Source organism: Homo sapiens, chromosome 5 (genome assembly GCF_000001405.40).
Source record: "Homo sapiens chromosome 5, GRCh38.p14 Primary Assembly".
NCBI classification, from domain to species: domain Eukaryota; kingdom Metazoa; phylum Chordata; class Mammalia; order Primates; family Hominidae; genus Homo; species Homo sapiens.
The window spans coordinates 13,677,001-13,697,285 of NC_000005.10; the positions used below are offsets into that span (position 1 = coordinate 13,677,001).

At 38.1% G+C, this 20,285-nt stretch overlaps 1 protein-coding gene across 8 annotated transcripts in view; it reads right to left on the bottom strand.

The window, feature by feature from the left end:
• Positions 13,328–20,285, bottom strand: part of DNAH5 (dynein axonemal heavy chain 5) — a 321,491-nt gene continuing 314,533 nt past the window's right edge. For all 8 annotated transcript variants that reach the window (XM_017009177.2, XM_005248262.4, XM_047416886.1 and 5 more), the window contains one exon: positions 13,328–15,135. In XM_017009177.2, the coding sequence (XP_016864666.1) occupies positions 14,984–15,135 (152 nt within the window). In that variant the 3' untranslated portion in view covers positions 13,328–14,983. The remainder of the gene's footprint in view (positions 15,136–20,285) is intronic.

The window sequence follows — 20,285 nt, forward strand, 5'->3', positions numbered from 1 at the left end:
CATGAAGTTTAGAATTTTGAGATAAGATCATCCTGTACTATCTCAGTGGGCCCTAAATGCCATCACAGGTGTCTTTGTAAGAGAGAGAAGGAAACTAGACTCATATATGGAAGATGAAGTGATGAGAAGAGGCAGAGAAGAGTTAGATTACAACAAGCCAAGGAATGCCAGAAGCTTCCAGAAGCTGGAAAAGATCAGAAAGCATCCTCCCCTAGAACTTCCAGAGGGAGGACAGCTCTGCTGACACCTTGATTTTGGACTTCTGGCCTCCAGAACTCTGAGAGAATATGTTTCTATTGTTCTAAGCTACTAAGTTTGTGGAAATTTGTTACAGCATTTATAGGAAAGGAATACAATGGTTTAATTATTTAATAAAACACTTATATGTATACAAGCTAAATTACTAATATCTCAAAGTTGTGCACTTTACAGAGTAAATTATTTCTCTTTATTTAAATAAGGATTCTGACCTTCATGAAAAGCATAAAGATACTAATGGTATACTAACAATGAGATTTTATTTTTAGGAAATTAGAAAAATCATATACAGTCATCCTTTGGTATCCATGGAGGATTGGTTCCAGGACATCCTTCAAATACCAAAATCTTGCAGATGCTCAAGTTTATTATATAAAATGGTGTAGTATTTGTATATAATCTATGCACATCCTGCTGTATGCATAATACTTGGCACACAGCAAAATTCAAGTTTTGCTTTGTGAAACTTTGTGGAATTTTATTTTCTGGCTATTTTTGATTCATAGTTGGTTGAATCCATGGATGTGGAACCCACCAATATGGAAGGCCAATGGTACTATGTTTCTGTGTAAAATGTGGAAGGTGTCAAAGAAAGTTATCCCCCTTCTAACAGGAGAAAAGGTCATATGAACTATGAATTATAACTTAGAGATCTGGAATTGAAGGGAACTTTGTTTTCTATGCTTCACTGGCCTACATTATTCTTTCACACTTCAAGAAACACCCTTGGAATCTTGAAACAAGCATCTTTGCAGTTGGAGTACTGGGGGAGTTTACCCAGAAAATGTCTAATGCCATCCTTGCCCTTGGGTGCTCAGGATTCACCTCTCTGCAAACCCTCACATCTGAGGGTACTTGGTTGCATCAGCAAGCATCCTACCTGCTGTCCCTGAAAGAAACTGGAAACAAAATGAGCACAGTTTGTCTTTTCAAAGGTAACCACATGTTAAAAAGAATTTTAATGAGAAAAACTTACAACCCAGAATTCTATGCCCACCAATTATATCTTGCAAAAAGGAAGAGGTAATAAAGACTTTTCCAGACAACAAATGCTGAAAAATGCCAGCAGAAATGCTCTTCGAGAATGTTCAAAGAAAGTCTTAAAGCAAAAATCAGATGGTAGCAGATGCAAACTTAGATCTACACAAAGTAATGAAGAGTGAAGAAAATGAAAATAGTAAGATAAATATAAAAAACATTTCCCTTATTTTTAATCAGTCTAAAATGTAATTTACTATCACAAAAAGTAGTTTTACTGTATTATGGGGTTTATAATGCATGTAAGAGTGAAATGTATGACAAAAATAGCACAAAGGATGAGAGAGGGGAAATTGTAAGATTCTTATACATGAAGGGATACAATTTGAATGTAGACTGTGATAAGGAAAGATGTATATTGTAAACCTTTGTAAAAGAAAAACTGCACTGGACACTTATTAAAAATGGCAAGGAAGACTTTATTCAAGACTACTGAAATGCGGGGGGGAGGGGGGGAGATTGAACTTAACTCCATTGAAGGATTTTTAAATGCTGGTGTGAGTTAATGGCCTCTACTGGATGACAGTGGAAAAGAGGTTAGTCAATGTGATTAGGGCACTTGTGTTTGCTAATTGTCACTTATCAAAGGGAGGCTCCCTACCCTCCCGTAGATACTGGGAGATAGAGGCTCTATCTATCTTTCTTGATTACATTTCAAAGGGATGGCTCCCAGATTCTTGAGAAAGATTTATATTTTAAAAGGGGAGAGAAAGAATTTACCATTGCAACTTTTCTAGAGTAAATGCCCTTAAGAAAAGAGAATCAAGAGTCTATGGTCAGAAAAAAGACTATCTAAGGTTCAGTCAATCTGAGGGGAACATTAGAGCTGTCTTGGTCACCTTAGGACATCCATCAAAAATAAGTAAAAATAAGTGAGCTGTAATTACTAGGTAAATATTGGAGATAAAATGGAATCATAAACAACATCCAACTCAAAAGCAGGCAGAATAAAATGAACAGAGAAGAGATGGGACAAGTGGAAAACAACTAGTTAGACAGCACATTTAAATCAAACCTTATTTATAATTATATGAAATATAAATGGTCATTAAAAAAACAGAGGTTGTCTGACTTCATTAAAAAGCAAGACCTAACTAACTATATAAGAAACTCACTTTAAATATGAAGGCATGGGTAGTTTAAAACGCTAGAAAATAAAAGGGTACATAGATAGGATCAAAATACATCTGTAGTGGCTATATTAATATCAAACCAAGAAACATCAGAAAAATAAATATTGCCAATGATAAACAGGAATAACATTACATAATAACAAAGAGGTCAAGTCACCATGAAGATGTAATAATTCTTAATTTGTGAATTATCTGGCAGCAGAGCGTCAAAATCCATGAAGAAATATGCAGCATCTTCTCAGCAGCATTTGGACCATCTGGGAGCTTGCTAGAGATGCAGAGTCTCAGGCCCTACCCCTGACCTTAAGGTTAAGGTCAGATGAATTAAGAATCTGCATTTATAACAAGATCTCCACATAATTAAACTGCATCAGAAAATCTAAGAATACTGATATACATTATGCCACATTTCTAATAAAGAACAAACACTCAGGTGGTATGTTTGCATAGCAGTTTAAGAGAATGTGGCAGTTTCATGGTTTCATAGAGTAACAGCATTCAGCATTCAGCAACAATAGTATATAATAGAGATTTGAAAATCGAGGAATACTTAAAAGAGGCTTTATATGAGAAGCATTGCAGTATAACATTCTAAAAAGTAGTTTTCACCACCTCAACTCTCTTTAGTTATAAATTGCTCGAAGGATTTTTAACCACAAATGTGTATTTTCCAGTTGTTTTATTGGTGGGTGTTTTTGTTTTTAATGGTACCAACTAGTTCCAACATTATTCCTGCCTTATCCTTGGGGGATACATTCCAAGACTATCAGTGGATGCCTGAAACCATAGATAGTGTCAAACCCTATATATACTCTGTTTTTTCCTATACACACACACCTGGGATAAAGTTTAGTTTATAAATTACATACAACTGTGATAAAGTTTAGTTTATAAATACACACACACCTGTGATAAAGTATAATTTATAAATTAGGCACAGTAAGAGAGAATAATAACTAATAAGATGGAACAATTAAAACTATATACTGTAATGGAGGTTATGTGAATGTGGTCTCTCACTCTCTGAAAATATTTTATTATACTGTACTCACCTATTTTTGGACCTTGGTTGACTACAAGTAATTGAAACTTTGGAAAGCAAAACAGTGGATAAGAGAGGACTACTGTATTCAAAACAGTGGTTCTCAACCCTGGCCACTTTAACAGGATGCCCTGGCCCCTCCCCCTAGTTATTTTTATTTAGTTAGACTGGGCTATGGCCTTATTATCAACATTTTTACAAATCTCTCTAAGTGATTCTCAAGTACAGCCAAGGTTAAATGCCATTATTTTAATAAATGAAAGGTTTTTATAGTAAACAAAAGCAGTAACTTTGATTGTGACCCAGTATCTGTTTATTTTACATCTCCCTTTTGTCATCTCACATGGATGGTCACTAGTTAGTAAATGAAATACATGACAGGCTTTGTTAGTCTGAACAGGCACAAAGGAAAAAGCAGCATCATTTAATAACTTATGGTGTGAATATCAGCATTAGACATCAGCATTAAATGGCATATTACACAAACAGTGTATTTATGCATATCATGCAGAGAGAAATTGGAGACGTTTTAGGGCTTTACTTTGGAATTGACTCACAAGCATGTTCCCATCAAAACAACAAGAACAAAAGAAACTCCAGGAAATCACTTTGCTTCTAAATTGAAAACAAGGAGAGAATGGCATTGATGGAGATGAAGCTGGGCTTAATACCCTTATGAGGAGGAGTAAAAGGACTGTACCTACCTGTCATAGTCTGTTCAGGCTGCCTTAGCAAAGTACCATACAGTGGGTAGCTTAAGCAATATACACTGATTTCTCACAGCAGTTCTGGAGCTGGGAAATCCAAGACCAAGGCACAGATGGATTCAGTGTCTGGTGAGGGTTCTTTTCCAGTTCATGGATGGTGCCTTCTCTCTGTGTCCTCACATGGCAGAAGAAGCAAAGGGTCTCTCTTGGGCCTCTATTATAAGCCCACTAATCCCATTTATTTAAGGCCCTGCCCATGACCTAACTATCTCCCAAAAGCCCCATCTCCAACTACCATCACACTGGGAATTTCATCATATGAATTTTGGGTGGACCCACATATTCAGACCACAGCACCACTGGTCCTTAAGCATTCCTCCTAAAACATGTTGTCACATCAGGTGGTGGCTGTTCACTGTCTCTCCTCTGTACCTGAATTGACCTGTAACAGGAGAAAGAAACTCACCGTGGGTGAGCCCTCCTTTGTCCTGGGTACTTTCAACTTGTTTGTCTTTATTGTTCATCCCAACAACCTCACAAGGAAGGTACCATATCGTGCACCCATTTTGCAGATAAGGAAACAAGGCCTCAGAAATGCTAACCAACTTTCCAAATAAACCCAGCTAGTAAATGGTGCATACAGGGTTTGAACCAGTCTCAAGTTCCAAATGCCCCTTTTTCCCTGTCACCCTGCCACCTCCCTGGCATGATACTAATCAAGAAAGGATGTGACCAGGAAGCCAGTTGATGAGAAGTATCTCTGAGAGGAGGAAGTTTTCCAGGTGGGACACTCCAAAGCCTAGGGTTACTCACACTCCTATTCCCGTGCGTTCCAGATGATACAAGCCACCACAAGGTGATTTGAGCTAGGCAAGGAGTTGGTAGGCATACTAGAACCCCTAATAGAGCAAGGCAGGAAGTAGGGGCTTGAGATGACAGTGGCGATGGCGGGGGTTGCATATTAGCATCTGAGTCTAGAACTCTGAATCACTTTTTCCCATGGACATTTAATTACAGGGTAGCCTGTGTGCTTATGATGAGTGGCATGATTATTTATAAAGGTGCTCATGGTTAACAGACCCTTTAGTGAGCTAGCTGGGGCCTAAACAATATGACTAAATAGGAGTGACTGATTAGGCCAGGAGATTCCAGGTTTGGGGCATTCCTAAACTTTTTATTTGTGGCAAAATATTATTAATAATAGTTCTATTAGGCCAGGATTAATTTGAACCTGCAGCTTATGACATAGTCTCATGTATGAGATGCAGACCTTTCAACGTGTGGTTAAATTTGAAAGACAATCTGTGGTGCTCTCTAGGTCAACCATTGCCCACATTGCAAAGATAAGCTTCAGTGAAAATGATGGCTGTGTTTTCTGAAGGGCAAAGGAAGAGTCTAGGCCAGCAAAGAATAGCAAGCAAAGATCTCTTTGAGTCCAGCTCTCTATCTAAATACAAGGAGTCCTCCAAGGGGCTCTCATCTTAAACAATTAGCAGTTTAATCTGGGAGGTGTCAAGATTACGGCTGAAGGTGGCAGCAAGGTAGAGGAAAGGGTCTTTTTACAAAGACACAATCTGAGGGTGTTACAACTAGGCAAAGGTCTGTCGCAGTCTGTATAAACTGAAAACAACCTTGGAATTTTTATGAGAGACTGCAGACCTCATTCTGAAGCTCACCACTAGCAGGGACTGCCTGCCACGGACTCTATCCCAGTAGAACCATGAAGACATCATTGCAGCATGATACAGACATACATCATAGGCAACTGTATAAGGCTCTGGTGTAATATTTCTTCTATGAGATGTATTTATATCAATTGTGAAGAGGCTGGCATGAAATTATATTGCTAAGGTCTATTTAATTTCTAGACAATGCTGCATTCTCTTTTATCATTCATCTAAAGACCCACTCATTTTATTAAAGAGATGTAAATTTTCCCAAAATAAGCTAGTTGATTTTGTTCATGCAGAAGCATTGATTTTAGAAGATATTTTCTATTAACAATAATCTACTTACATCTAAATGCAAACAGGCTAGCATCAGAGAACAAAAAAATTAAATTTGCAAAAACTCTATATTTCTAACATTAACTTAGAAAGTTTCTCTCAGTATTCCACACTCAGCTCTAATTTATCAGTGAATTTTTCATCCTTATAAGGTACCAATACGGGTCAAATAATGTGTTCTGCTCTTTTCTGCTGAAGACTATTGATAGACTTTTAGCATGAGAAAAACAGATTAGGGAAACCAACAACAAGCAATACAAACCAAAATAAGCTAAAGCAAATATAGATATATTCATTCAATATAAGCCAAAATAAGCTAAAGCAAATATGGATATATTCTCCAGCCAATGCTCAATTTTCTGATTTCTAATACAACTAAAATATCTAGAAAAAAATTGTTTTTTAGTAATATGGTTCAACTTATAACAATCATCTTTTTAAAAGCCCCTCATTTGTACCATTTATAAATCTTTGTTACCTGGGTTACCAGGTATCAGGGGATATCATATGTGAATTTCAATGTATTATGTCCCAGAAACACTAAAAACATTTTCACTATTGCTAGAATAGCAAAAAGTTTCATTGCTGCATGCAAATGACCACTTTTCAAATGATAAAACACTAAAATGTTTTATAAGCTCTTTTCCTAGAGGTCTCTGGGGATTTGCCTTAAGTATTTGCATAAATAAATTATAAATGGATCCATCACAGCTGACTGCATTGAGTGAGGTGAAACTCAAGAGTGAATTTTAAACTGTGCTCAGCAATAAAGAGGAGTGTTCAATATCAGCTGCAGCACAGGTTTTGATTCATAATCCTTCACAGGTCTCTCCATTCCGTGACTTTCCAGGTAGTCTCTTCGGTGTCCTTCATCACATTTAATCTTTCTCTCTTCTCAACTACTCAGAATGAACACTCTATGTGGTCTTATTAAAATCGACTCCTGCACAAAGTATTGGGGAAAACTTAATTGGCCTTCCAGGGTAGCGTGTTTGTGATTACGTTTGATATGAATTCTGTGCATATTAGCCTAAGTGAAGAAATAAATGAAGAAAGGTATTCCAGTGATCATAAAACATTACTAGAACAGGGGCAAAGCATCACGCTGCACAATGTGTCTTGGCTCTGCCCACAAGATGCACAGCAAGGAGCAATAATGTATTGCCCAATGAAAAATACCATTTGGTATGCAAATTAAAGAGAGGACAAAGCTTCTGATCTTGGCCCTGCATCCACCCAACATAAACGCAGACTTGGAAACAATTAGTATGCCTATTTGCCAATAGAGCCTTGGAAAACTAAATGGAGTCCTAAATCAGAGACAGACACTAAGAAGGCAGAGAAAGAATACTCATTAGCCAGGTCCACACAGTGGTTTTATGGGTGTTCCTAAGAGAAAAGAGCTGATAGGACTTTCAGAAGACCTCAGATAAAATCCTTTAAGCCATTGACATTATAATATTAGATCTAATACTGTTGGCACTTTGCAAGAAAATTCTGAAATCCGGGGGATGAAGAAGCCATTTTTAAAAGGCTCATTTGAGGAGTTTTGAGTTTAATTCATTGTCTTGATCAAGTGTTATTGCTAATAAACAAATTCTAACAGCGTCTGAGGAAAAGAAACATGAGGCCATTTATCCGCCACTGCATCCCACTCTTGATACTTCATTCTTCACTTCAAGTTCCTTCCCTCCCACCTGCTCTCTATATTTTCTTTTTTATGCAAATGAAAGGAGAGAGTAGAATTCTGTCTATAAATACTACTTACCTGGCTGCTCAGATTTATGGTTTTCCAGGCTGAAGACCAGAACCAGAAAAGCCCCTCAGGGTGCAGATCAGACAAGCAACACATTCTATTCTTGCATAGATAACATTAATTTTGTTTAAAGTGCAGCACAGAATAAGTCTCATCATTTAAGACAACTAAGAACATGTTTGTAAATTCAGTTTCTTAGCCAAATCTCATATCTGATTCTAAAACTGACCTTGAATCCTTCTTATCCTCCTTCACGGGGGATATTTACGGAAACTTGATATGCACATGTTGGACGTAGCAGATGCCACTCAATTGACCAGAGCACATAAACCTCAAGAATACCACTAGATTTCCTCCTCGTGTTTTCAAAACCGACTGGTTTATTGGTTTTCCAAAGGATTCAGACTATGGAGAGCCATATTGTGAATATAAGTGTACCACTTGTTTGTCCTTAAGAGGCATTATTTTGATGTGCTGACAGGGGCTACTAATCAAGAGTGATCAGTTGCGTAGTTTTTAAAAATCACTCCTAATACTTGCAAGAGAAAATTATTTAAAATGTAAAAGCAATTATGCATGTCATCAGAGCCATTTTAGGAAAAAAAAGGTGTACTGCAGATTTTGGGGAGAGGATTGTCTTTCAGACAAAATTACTCATACATATGTTTTATTATTTATATCATTACTAAAAATCTTCATACTGAAAAAAATTCAGAAACTATATTATCAGTATGCACTCACATACCTAGGTTTTTTTAAATTTTTGGGGGGTACATAGTAGGTGTATATGTATTTATGGAGTACATGAGATATTTTGATACACGCATACAAGGTGTAATAATCACATCAGGATAAATGGGGTGTCCATCACCTCAAGCATTTATCCTTTGTGTTACAAACAATCCAGTTATACTCTTCTAGTTATTTTAAATGTGCAGTTAAATTATTATTAACTATAGTCATCCTGCTTTGCTATCAAATACTAGATCTTATTGATTCTATTTTTTGTACTCACTAACCATGCCCACTTCCCCTAGTTTCATATAACGCTTCATCTTTGAACAAAAATTTATCACTAATAATGACATTGATGCTGTATATTTTGTCTAAACTATAGAATCCTACAAGCTACTTAAGTATAAAATTTGTGGCTGTCTCATCAGGTCTCTTAATACTGAATTCTTTATAATGAGATTTTTCCATTGCAAATGGTATTTAACAAAAAGTACTCCTCATTCCAATGACTTAGAAACACATGATTTCCATCCACCACTACTCCAAACTGGCAGCCATCATCATAAGGTGTGAAATTTCATTTTAAAAGCAGCCCTCCACATCCCTCCATATCCCTCCACTCCAAGTCAGGCTTTCCTGTCACCCGTCCTGCAGATACTGTGCCCACTTTCTCCCTTTAGGGAGCAAGAGGCCAGTCCCCAGCGCTTGGGGGTCTGAGATGTTTTCCTTTACTCCTTTAAATCTAAATTTAGATGTCACCTTCTCAGAGCTGCTTTTCCTTATGGTCCAATCAAATTAAGTCTCTCCAGGCAAAGAGTATCCTGAGTAGAGATGTTGTTCGAGGACACTGGACCCTGGCTAGGCTTTTTCCACTGATGGTGACATGGCCTCACTAATGCTGAGGTGGTTCAATGTTTGCCAGCATTCCGTTAAAGATGCTCAGAGAAGCCAAGGTATGCTTCTATGGAATGGTGAAATAAGCCCCATACATAAAAAGACAGTTCTTTATGAGACAAGACTTTCCTTTTAGACTCAGTCAATTCTGGAAGGACCTTACCTGCCCAGAGAGGGTCACCAGAAGCTGTGAGTTGCACAAGGGAACAAGGGAGCCAGAAAACCAGAGAAAAGCCAGGCAAGGATGTGCAGCAGCTGCTCTGGCTCCGGGGAGTGCCTCCCTGCTATTGCATGTATGTCCTCCGTAAAAATAAATGTCATCTAGGAAGAAGAGAAGTCTTTGAATGTTCTCACCACAAAGAAATGATAAATGCATGAGATGCTGGATATACACATTACTCTAATTGGATCATTACACAACACAAATATGTATCAAAACATCAAATTTTACTCCATAAATATGTACAATTACAATGTGTCAATTAAAAACATCAATTTAAATTTAAAAAGTAATAAATGTCGAGAGATTATGAATATGTAAATTAGCTTCGTTTAATCACTCCACATTGTATACATATATCAAAACACCACATTTTACTCCATAAATGCAATATGATCAGTTAATCAATTAAAAATATCAATAAAACAGTAAAAATAAATGGTGACATTGTAACATGGCTTCTGCCTGATAGTGGTGACACAACTGATGTGCTGCAGTCTCCTCTGTTATTCTCATTCACGACGTCCAGTATTTTCCTTCATAGCACTTAATGCACAATCTTTATATTATCTTCTAGACACCTAATGTACATCATGTTATATAACCATAAATTTAGATTATAGATAACTACTGATATGGTTTGGGCTCTGTGTCCCCACCCAAATCTCATCTTGAATTGTAATCCCCATGTGTCAAGGGAGAGACCTGGGGGGAGGGATTGAATCCTGGAGACAGTTTCCCCCTTGCTGTTCACAGGATAGTGAGCTCTCACGAGATATGATGGTTTAAAAGTGTGACAGCCCCCACCCCTTCCACCATGTAAGACGTGCCTTGCTTCCCCTTGGCCTTCCACCATGATTGTAAGTTTCCTGAGGCCTCCTAAGCCTTGTGAAACTGTGAGTCAATTAAACCTCTTTTCTTTATCAATTACCCAGTCTCACGTAGTTCATTATAATGTATATATGAACTAATAAAGAAAATTGGTACCAGGAGTTTGGGTCACTGCTGTAAAGATACCTGAAAATGTGGAAGCAACTTTGAAACTGGGTAATGGGCAGAGGTTGGTACAGTTTGGAGAGCTCAGAAGAAGACAGGAAGAGGTGGGAAACTTTGGAACTTCCTAGAAATGTGTTGAATAGTTTTGACCAAAATGCTGATAGTGATGGGGCAATGAAGTCCAGGTTGAGATGCTCTCAGATGGAGATGAACTTATTGGGAACTGGAGCTAAGGTCACTCTTGCTGTGCTTTAGCAAACAGACTAACAGCATTTTTCCCCTGCCTTAGAGATCTGTGAAACTTTGAACTTGAGATGATTTAAGGTATCTGGCAGAAGAAATTTCTAAGCAGCAAAGCATTTAAGATGTGACCTGGGTGCTCTTAACAGCATACGGCCATATGCATTCACAAAGAGATGGTTTGAAATTAAAACTTATGTTTAAAGAGGAAGCAGAGCATAAAAATTTGACCAATTGCAGCCTGACCAAGTGATAGAAGAAAAAAAAATCTATTTTCTGGGGAGAAATTCAAGCTGCCTGCAGAAACTTGCATAAGTAAAGAGATGCCGAATATTAATAGCCAAGATAATGGGGAAAATGTCTCCAGGGCATTTCATAGATCTTCATGGCAGCCCCTCCCATCACAGGTCCGGAGGCCTAGAAGGGAAAAATTGTTTCCTGGGCTGGGCCCAGGGCTCCACTGCTCTGTGCAGCCTTGGGACATGACACCCTGCATCCCAGCTGCTCCAGCTCTAGCCATGGCTAAAAGTGGCCAAGGTACAGCTCAGGACACAGCTTCAGAGGGTACAAGCCCCAAGCCTTGGCAGGTTTCACATGGTGTTGGGCCTACAGGTATGCAGAAAACAAGACTTGAGGTTTCGGAACCTCCACTTAGATTTCAGAGGATGTATGGAAATGCCTGGATGTCCAGGCAGAAGTCTGGTGCAGTAGCAGAGTCCTCATGGAGAACCTCTACTAAGGCAGTGCAGAGGGGAAATGTAGAGTTAGAGCCTCCACACAGAGTCCCCACTGGAGCACTGCCTAGTGGAGCCATGAGAAATGCACCACCATCCTGTAGCTCCCAGAATGGTAGATCCACTGACAGCTTGCACTGTGCACCTGGAAAAGCTGCAGGCAATCAATGCCAGCCCGTGAAAGCAGCCACAGGGGCTGTACCCTATGGAGCTTCAGAGGTAGAGCTGCCCAAGAACTTGGGAGGCCACTTCTTGCATCAATGTGCCCTGGATATGAGATATGGAGTCAAAGGAGATTGTTTTGAAACTTTAAGGTTTAATGATTACCCTCTTGGGTTTTGGACTTGCATGGAGCCTGTAGCCCCTTTGTTTTGGCCAATTTTCCCATTTGGTGCTTTTGATTTTACAGGCTCACAGGTGGAAGGGACTTCTCTTGTCTCAGATGAGACTTTGGACTTGGACTTTTAGGTTAATGCTGGAATGAGTTAAGACTTTTGGGGACTGTTGGGAAGGTATGATTGTGTTTTAAAATATAAGGACATGAGAGTTGGGAAGGGCTGGGGTGGAACAATATGGTTTGGCTCTGTGTCCCCACCCAAATCTCATCTTAAATTGTAATCCCCACATGTCGAGGGAGGAACCTGGTGGTATGTTATTGGATCATGGGGGCAGTTTCCCCTGTGTGGTTCTCATGATAGAGAGTGAGTTCCCACAAGATCTGAAGGTTTAAAAGTGTGTGGCTGTTCCCTTCACGTTCTCTCTCTCCTGCTCCACCATTGTGAAGATATGCCTGGTTCCTCTTCATCTTCCACCATGATTACGTTTCCTGAGGCCTCCCCAGCCATACAGAACTGTGAGTCAATTTTAAACCTCTTCTCTTTATAAATTCACCAGTCTCAGGTAGTTCTTTATAGCAGTGTGAAAACGGACTAATACAACTACATGTGTACCTGAATAATTGCTATATTCTGCATCTATTCTTCTCAGGTGAATTCTATGAGATTAAGCACTGTGACTGTTTTTTTTTCTTTCACCATTGCATCACCAATTCAGCAGAGAGTCTTCATAGGAGGTGCAAAATAAATATTTTTTAGTAAATCAATATTGGGACAGTTGAAAAAGACTGTTATATGATTCTGCAATGGTAGCAAGCCCCTGGCTGTTTTTTCTCCATGTCTAAGACCATCAGAAAGCCTCTCCATTGCAGGAGAGATTCATTCAATCGGTCCTCCCTTGCCTACCTGACTGTGGAATGCCCAGCACCTTTTGGTGGGAGGAGCCCCGGTAGGGGTAGGTGGCTATGCAGAAAGGGGCCTCATTGACTCATCACTGCTTCAGGGGCCAGCCATGTTGAATTAGTTCCTAAAAGTTCTTAGTTGTTTTCATGGTCTTTTTCTACTTTGGGTCTCCAAGACTTATGCATGCATACTAACAGATGTGTATCACAAAATCATATGAATGACACATTTTCAAATTATTTGATAAAAAATCCAGTCTTGAAAGCTTATTTCTAGATACTTAGTGCCAATTACCCCCTTTTCTGATAAACAACAATTATGAATGAGGCATTTAGTAAAAACATTTTATTAATTCCTATGATGTTGACATTTTCATTACTTGCTTTTCAAAATGAAATGATTGTTTCACCACAATTCACACAAATCAACTGATATACTAATCCACACCAAAAGAAAGAACTCACAAGAAAACAGTATCATCTAAGATGGTGGGAGTCACAGGAGCCACTCAGTCCTAACTCTCATGATCATGAGCATGAAATAATGATCCTGGTCCACAGAATGAAGCCCAGTGAGAGGGACCCACACTTGTCTCCCGGTATCCACCTACCAAAAACTGTTTATCCAAAAAAATGCAGTTATACAGATCCAGAGCTAACCAAAAGTTTATAAACCACAATTCTAATTTAGTACTGACTATATTTTCTAGTCAGTAGGTTAGATGAAGAATTATTAATAACATCTAACCAGAATTTAAAGAAAAATACGTGAAAAGTTCCTTTGATAATGTTTCCTAATTAATAAAAGTCCATAGAAAGTCCCTACGCACCGTCTAATATTTCTACCCTTTTTTTATTTTTTCTCCTGATCATCACATTTTTTCAAGCCAACTATAATTCTTGCTATCACATCTGTTCTTATTTTTCTATCTTGCCATCTAATCTTTGTCCACATGCAAATATATTTGCTGTTATAATCACAGTGTGCTCAATATTTTGTAAACTAAATCTTTCACTTAACAGTCTGGGTCTACCATTTCATATTATGGAATCTTCAAAATTGTTTTTTATGGTTGCCAAATATCTCTTAATTTCCTTAACCATAGCCTGACTATTGAATATTTATGATTTTTCCATTTTTTTCTGTTATTAAATGCAATTTTATATAGACTGTTTTCAGTCTTTTAAATTGTTTCCTTGATGTAGAGAAAACAAAGATCCAAGGGTGTGAATATTTTTATGGCTCTTTCTGTATTTAATCATTTTACAAAAAGGTTGGGTTGATTTACATTGCTCCAGCAATTTGTGAGTGGATCAGTTTTACTGAGAGCATGCTATCATTTACTTTTAGCTTTAATTTTTATTATAAGAATTATCAATTAGTATTTCATTATTAATTATAAGTAGGCTTAAGCATTGTTCTACGTTTATTCTCTATGTTTACATAAATTTTCTATTTACATTCTTAATCCATTCTTCTATTTCCTTCTATTTTTTAAAAGGTATTTTTAATTGGCTGCTTGAAACCCTGAAAATAAGTCTCTTAACTTGACCTAAATACGAAAGGCAATAGAAGCAAAATCAGCACAGACTTGCCCTGTTACCTTCAAGAACTTGGCTGTTACCAGGCCACGTTAACAGAAGAATAATTCCTCCCAGAGAAATACTGTCTGCTTACCCTAGTCAGTCTTCGGAGCGAAGTAAGAAGAAAATATACTACTGTGGATTTGAGGGCCACACTTCATTAGGATGCTGTAAATTTACTTTTATATCACTAAATAACATTTTCAACAAACTCAGACATTGGTCACTAATGATGAAACAAGTAAAATATAAGCATCCAATTAAGGAGTGGGGAAAACCTATGCAGCTCATTAATTGCATAAACGACCTAACATACACTGTCCAGCAGTCATACAGAAATAAAGGTTACAATAATTTAGATCTTGCATTTTCCAAAGCATTGGGTGGGGACACTCCCCACATGTTACTTGACATCACACAGAAGGGCAACCCCACGGAGCACCCAGTGTTCAGGGGTCTGGGCTGTCCTGAGATCCACAGCGGCAATGTAGTTCAAGTCCGTTCGAACTGGCTTCTTATAGATGGGACAGGAGTAAAACCGAGGATCTCGTAAAGCTACAAAAAACATAAAAGAAAAGAACTTGGTGAAATTTCCACTTTAGAGCCCAAGGAGAATGCAGAGCCATGCTTCTGCATTCTGTAGGTCATTTCAAAAACAGATGGGTTTGGCTGAATGAGGGACATTCTTTCTGAGGTCAGGCAATTCCTAGATGTGAGGCAGATGCTCCCACATGGTGCCAGCAGATGTGGCAAGACACCCAGACAGCCTCTGGTGGCCTCTGCTGGCCCCTTGCCCTGAACCATGGACAGTAACTCATGCCCACATGCTTCCTCTCTCTCCTTTGCACCTGTCCACTCAACATCCCCTCCACCTGTTCTCCTTCACCTCCTCACCAAACCTTGAGCACACACACATCTACTTTTACTCAGGCATCCAGCACCAGTGGGCATTACTTTATTATTTCAAAATCTTCAACCCTGCAGGCCATAGTCTACATCACATTTTAAATCCCAGGACAGAGGGTGCCTCCCCACCCCCCAGCTAAATCAGGTATTGTGAATTCTCCATATATGTAGAGAAATAAAATTGCTGGGACGCAGAGAGTAATGGCCCAATTCACCTCCCTGAGACTCAGTCTACCTTTCTGGAGTAGAAGAATGGATGCAGTTTCCAAAATGACACTGCAATGAAAGGCAATCTATGTATGTCCATCCTTCAGAGATCCTTTCTAACACATCCATCTCCACCCACATGCTCCCTTTCTCTCCAGCCTTGGAAACCCCATACTCAGAGACAGGTCCAGGTCTGTGGGGACTTAAACTTATACAATTCATGAGGGCCCTCTTTAAGAAAAGGAGTAAAATTTATAAATAAAAAAGTAGGCTTTGGAAGGAGACTCTGCCTGTGAGCAGCCTGGGAGTTTAAGCCTCATTAGCTTCTTATGAAACCCACTCTGCCCACAGTAGTTTATCTGCACATCTCCTAACATGCATCTCAGGAAATAGTATATTATTTAATATTCTCTTCCAGATTATACATTTTTTGAGGACAAGAGTGTGTCTACACCCATCCCTGTACTCTTCCGGGAAGTCAATATTACAAAAAAATTAAAAAACCCTCACTTAACTATTCAGGTGAAATTACATTTAACTAAGAGGATGCTCTGCTTTTGTGAATTAATGTTACAAACATGGGCACTGAAACACATCAGAGTTATTGAATTTATTTCTCAAAACTGACATGCTCAAAAATTTACCTTTTCCAGAAAATTACAAAAGCAAGGCACTATCAGAAACTAAAGTCTCATTATTTGATCCAATAGAACTTGTAACCTGCTGTGCCCTGTGTTTTTACATATCCACTATAAATTTAATTAATTGTATTAGAAGAAGTGAAACGTTTGAATACAATAATGTTACACATAAGTTTCAATATAAAATAAATAATCCTAAAGCCGTGATTCTTAACCAGGGACAATTCTACTTACGGAGGACATTTGCCAATATCTGAAGACATTTTTGGTTAACACAGCCGTAGGCTTGCTGCTGACATCTTCAGGAATAGAGGTCAGGGATAATGCTAACATCCTATGATGCACAGGACAGCTCCCCCAAAACAAAGCGTTACCCAGACCAAATATGTCAATAGTACCAAGAGAATGAGAAACCTTCTTCTAAAACAACAAAGATATTTTATAGTATTTTAAAACCCTGTGTTTCCCTAATCTCATGAAAGTAATCATTAGGAACAACCTAAAACAACGTGATACCTAATTTTTAAGTCTGAGTGTAATTTTTCCAATTTCTATGCATATATCACTAGTGATAATCATTAGGCAAATATATATGAAAAATTCTGAACAAGTAAATGAATGACAATGAATCATGCAATACGGTTAACGCTAACTATACTCACTGATATAGTTAAATCCTTTAATCCTAGGATCTTTAAACATGTAAAACATATAAAAGTCATTCTTCTTGCTGCAGATTTGATTAACCATTTTATAAACCTTGAAGTAAGCCTTTGGTGCCTTACATCTGAATCTCCTGATAATTACAAAAATTACAACTTGAGAAGTATTTGACTACTTGGATTTTAATCCCAACAGAAAAATGGAGGGAAAAAATAGCATTCTCTTCAATAAGCAGGTAAAAATAATTTTCTGAAATATTTATCCAATTCTATTTATTTTTAATTGCTTCAGAGCTGAAGGTGCTCATGCCAAGTCACAGCGTGCAGCAAATTTCTGCGGCAGGATTAGAAGCCACTGAAGATATAATTTCATAGTGAAAACGTTGATAGATGCTAAACAACTACATAAGCAGATGATTCGAAACCATCCCCCTGCTTAGACAAATAACTTTGAAGACAAAAATAGGCATGCTAGGTAGGTAGAACAAATCACCTAAGTATGTTTAAAGCCTTAGGGTTCCAGAAGGAGGAGGAGAGAGAAGAGGTTGTGCAAATTGGCAAGCCATACCCTTTAGGATCTTAAAGGTTTTAACAAAACACCTTGGGGGAATTTCATTTTCTGACTATTTAACTTCCCTATCTTGCATTTTTCATCTACATGTGAGTATACATTCCATATATTCCTTCCAACATCCAAAATAATCGTTACATAGAGAGTCTCTATAGAATCGTTAAGTCATTCCTTTATTTAACCACCCTTTTGCTAACAACATTTAAATTACTAGACAGTTCACTCTTAACATACACTATTTCTTTCAATCCTTTAAAAACCATGTGAGCTAAGCATGTTAATAAAAGTAACAATTGAAAAAAATATTTATTATATGCTTCCTATGTACATAACAGTGTCAGTTTAATTCTCTCAATAATCCTATATGATGGGTACTAATATTTAATCATTTTACAGATTCAAAAACTGGAACAGAAGGAGGTGAGTTGTCCAAGATTAGAGAGCTATAGTGATAACTGAGAATGAAACCTAGTCAGAATGGATCCGTGGCCTCTCCGCTTCATCTCTGCAATACTTTGGAAGCACTATGCATGTATACCTCTGCCTTTGCAGAAAACATGAAAATGAAATGGACAGAACTAGAAACCTGAGTTCAATTTGTGGCATATTTGAGATGCCTCCAAAGCCACGTGACTAATGACTAGGATGATAAAAGCCAGGAGAACAACCCGAGTATCCTGGCCCTCGGCTCACAGTCCTCTACCGGTGAACAGGGGCACGAGCACTTTTCAGCCTGTAGCATGATGGAGGGAGGTATACGGAGGGAGAGCACCATCCGCAGAGGGCTCTCCCTGTGCCCTCCCACTGCCTACAGTCTACCTTAGCAGGTACCTGAGAAAAATTAACTCAGGACTTCGATATTCAAGGGAGCTGTCCTCATTTTGAGTTTAGCTGTCCTCATTTTCAAGTTTCATCCCAGGAACTACGAGGACATGTAAACACAGAATCTCAAGTAGAAGATTAACCATGGGAATTCCCAGAGGTTTGCATATACCTCATGACAAACAAATGTGATTCTCATACCAGCTTTCCCTGTCAGTAGCCAGGAATCATGGGCAAATTACCCAGTGTCTCCAAGCCTTAATTTCTCCATCTGCAAAATGAGGATGACAAATTTGACAGAGTTGTTGTAAAGATTAAATAAGTTAACACATGTATGTGCCTGGTATAGTATGATGCCTGGAATGTAGAAGGTGCCTAAGATAGAGATGTTATTCGACACTTCTTTATCTCTCAGTCTCCACACACACATACACAGGCACACATACATACCCACACATGCACATGCACATACACACACATGCACACGCACATACACACACATGCATCTACTTACGCATGGACCTTTTCACTAAAACAATTTCCCAGACTCATGTTTCCCATGACTTTAACAGACTTCCAGGTTGACAAGCTGACAGTGGATTAAATCCTGTGGGCTCAGGAGCCAGGAGGTCTCTACCCCTGGTCACCACATACGGCTATCCCCACCCCAGGCCCAAATCTGCACAGTCTCAGGTCAGAATGGGTCAGACGGTGTTCTTAGATACACTTTTTCCTTAGCAGGAAATAACCGTTGAGACCCCTCTTGCACCTGCTTAGTGACCAGAGGTATGTAGAAGGCTTGCCTCGTCCCTCGCAAATGTTCCAATCACGGTTTTCCATCACAGCAGCTACAGCTCTGAAGTTCATTGAGAATCATCAATCTGCTCATATAATAAATCTGTGAAGACACATATCTTTCTTCTATCTGTCCTTTTCAGCTTCCTTTGAGAATAGAGGATCTAGACAGTGTGTGTGTGGCTTTACCGTCTTGGTGAATTTAGTACTATTTGAATGACTTTCCCGTGATTTTCTAGCAAGAAACATGATTTCTTTTTCAAGTTTCAGGGTATATCACTCAATTTTTAGAATTAAAATAAATATCTAGATTTCTTCTTGTAGAAAACAAACCAGTCCTATATCTATATTTTAATGATTATTTAAATCAAAAAATTTCCTTCATATTAATGTAAAAACTGTTAACTATAAGAATTCCAATTTTTAAATGCTGCACTTTGGTCATTAATGATGCTACACACCCCTTTAAGTCAATTAGAGCCCTGCTCAATTATCAAAATTGAGTAAAAATTAAATATATCGCATGAAAGGGGTAACAGAATGTTAGTTTTCCATCACTAAAGAAACACCTCTTCAACAACAAAGCTATTTGGCAAACCAAGTTTCCACCAACTCTTACTGAAATCAAAAAAAGAATAAAGAACTAAAGTTTTCTTTTAATACTTTGAAATTAGCCCTTTTTCCTTTGCTTATTTTATTTTCTCCCTTACCTGCTGCTAATGAGCATCACCACTGGGCTAATACCCAGCAGGGTGGGTATAGTTCTTCTATAAAAATCTGTTCTTAAATCATAAAGAATTGCCAGTATTATAAAATTATTACTTTATTACTACCATGCTGAGATGTTCAATGTCAAATTGCCGTGGATTTTTATAGTTTAGTCACAAGAAAAAACAGGAACATGTAACTCAACTGGAAAAAGGTTTTTATTTCATTTTATATGGGAAACATTTTTACAATATGTTGACTAGATGCAATGATATGACAAAGCAATTTTTCTAAAATACTATTTTTGGCTAAAGGAACACTTGATTATTATTTCTATAAAATAATTACTGTCCCAAGATGTCACACTACCCTAAGAACCAGTAAATACAAAGC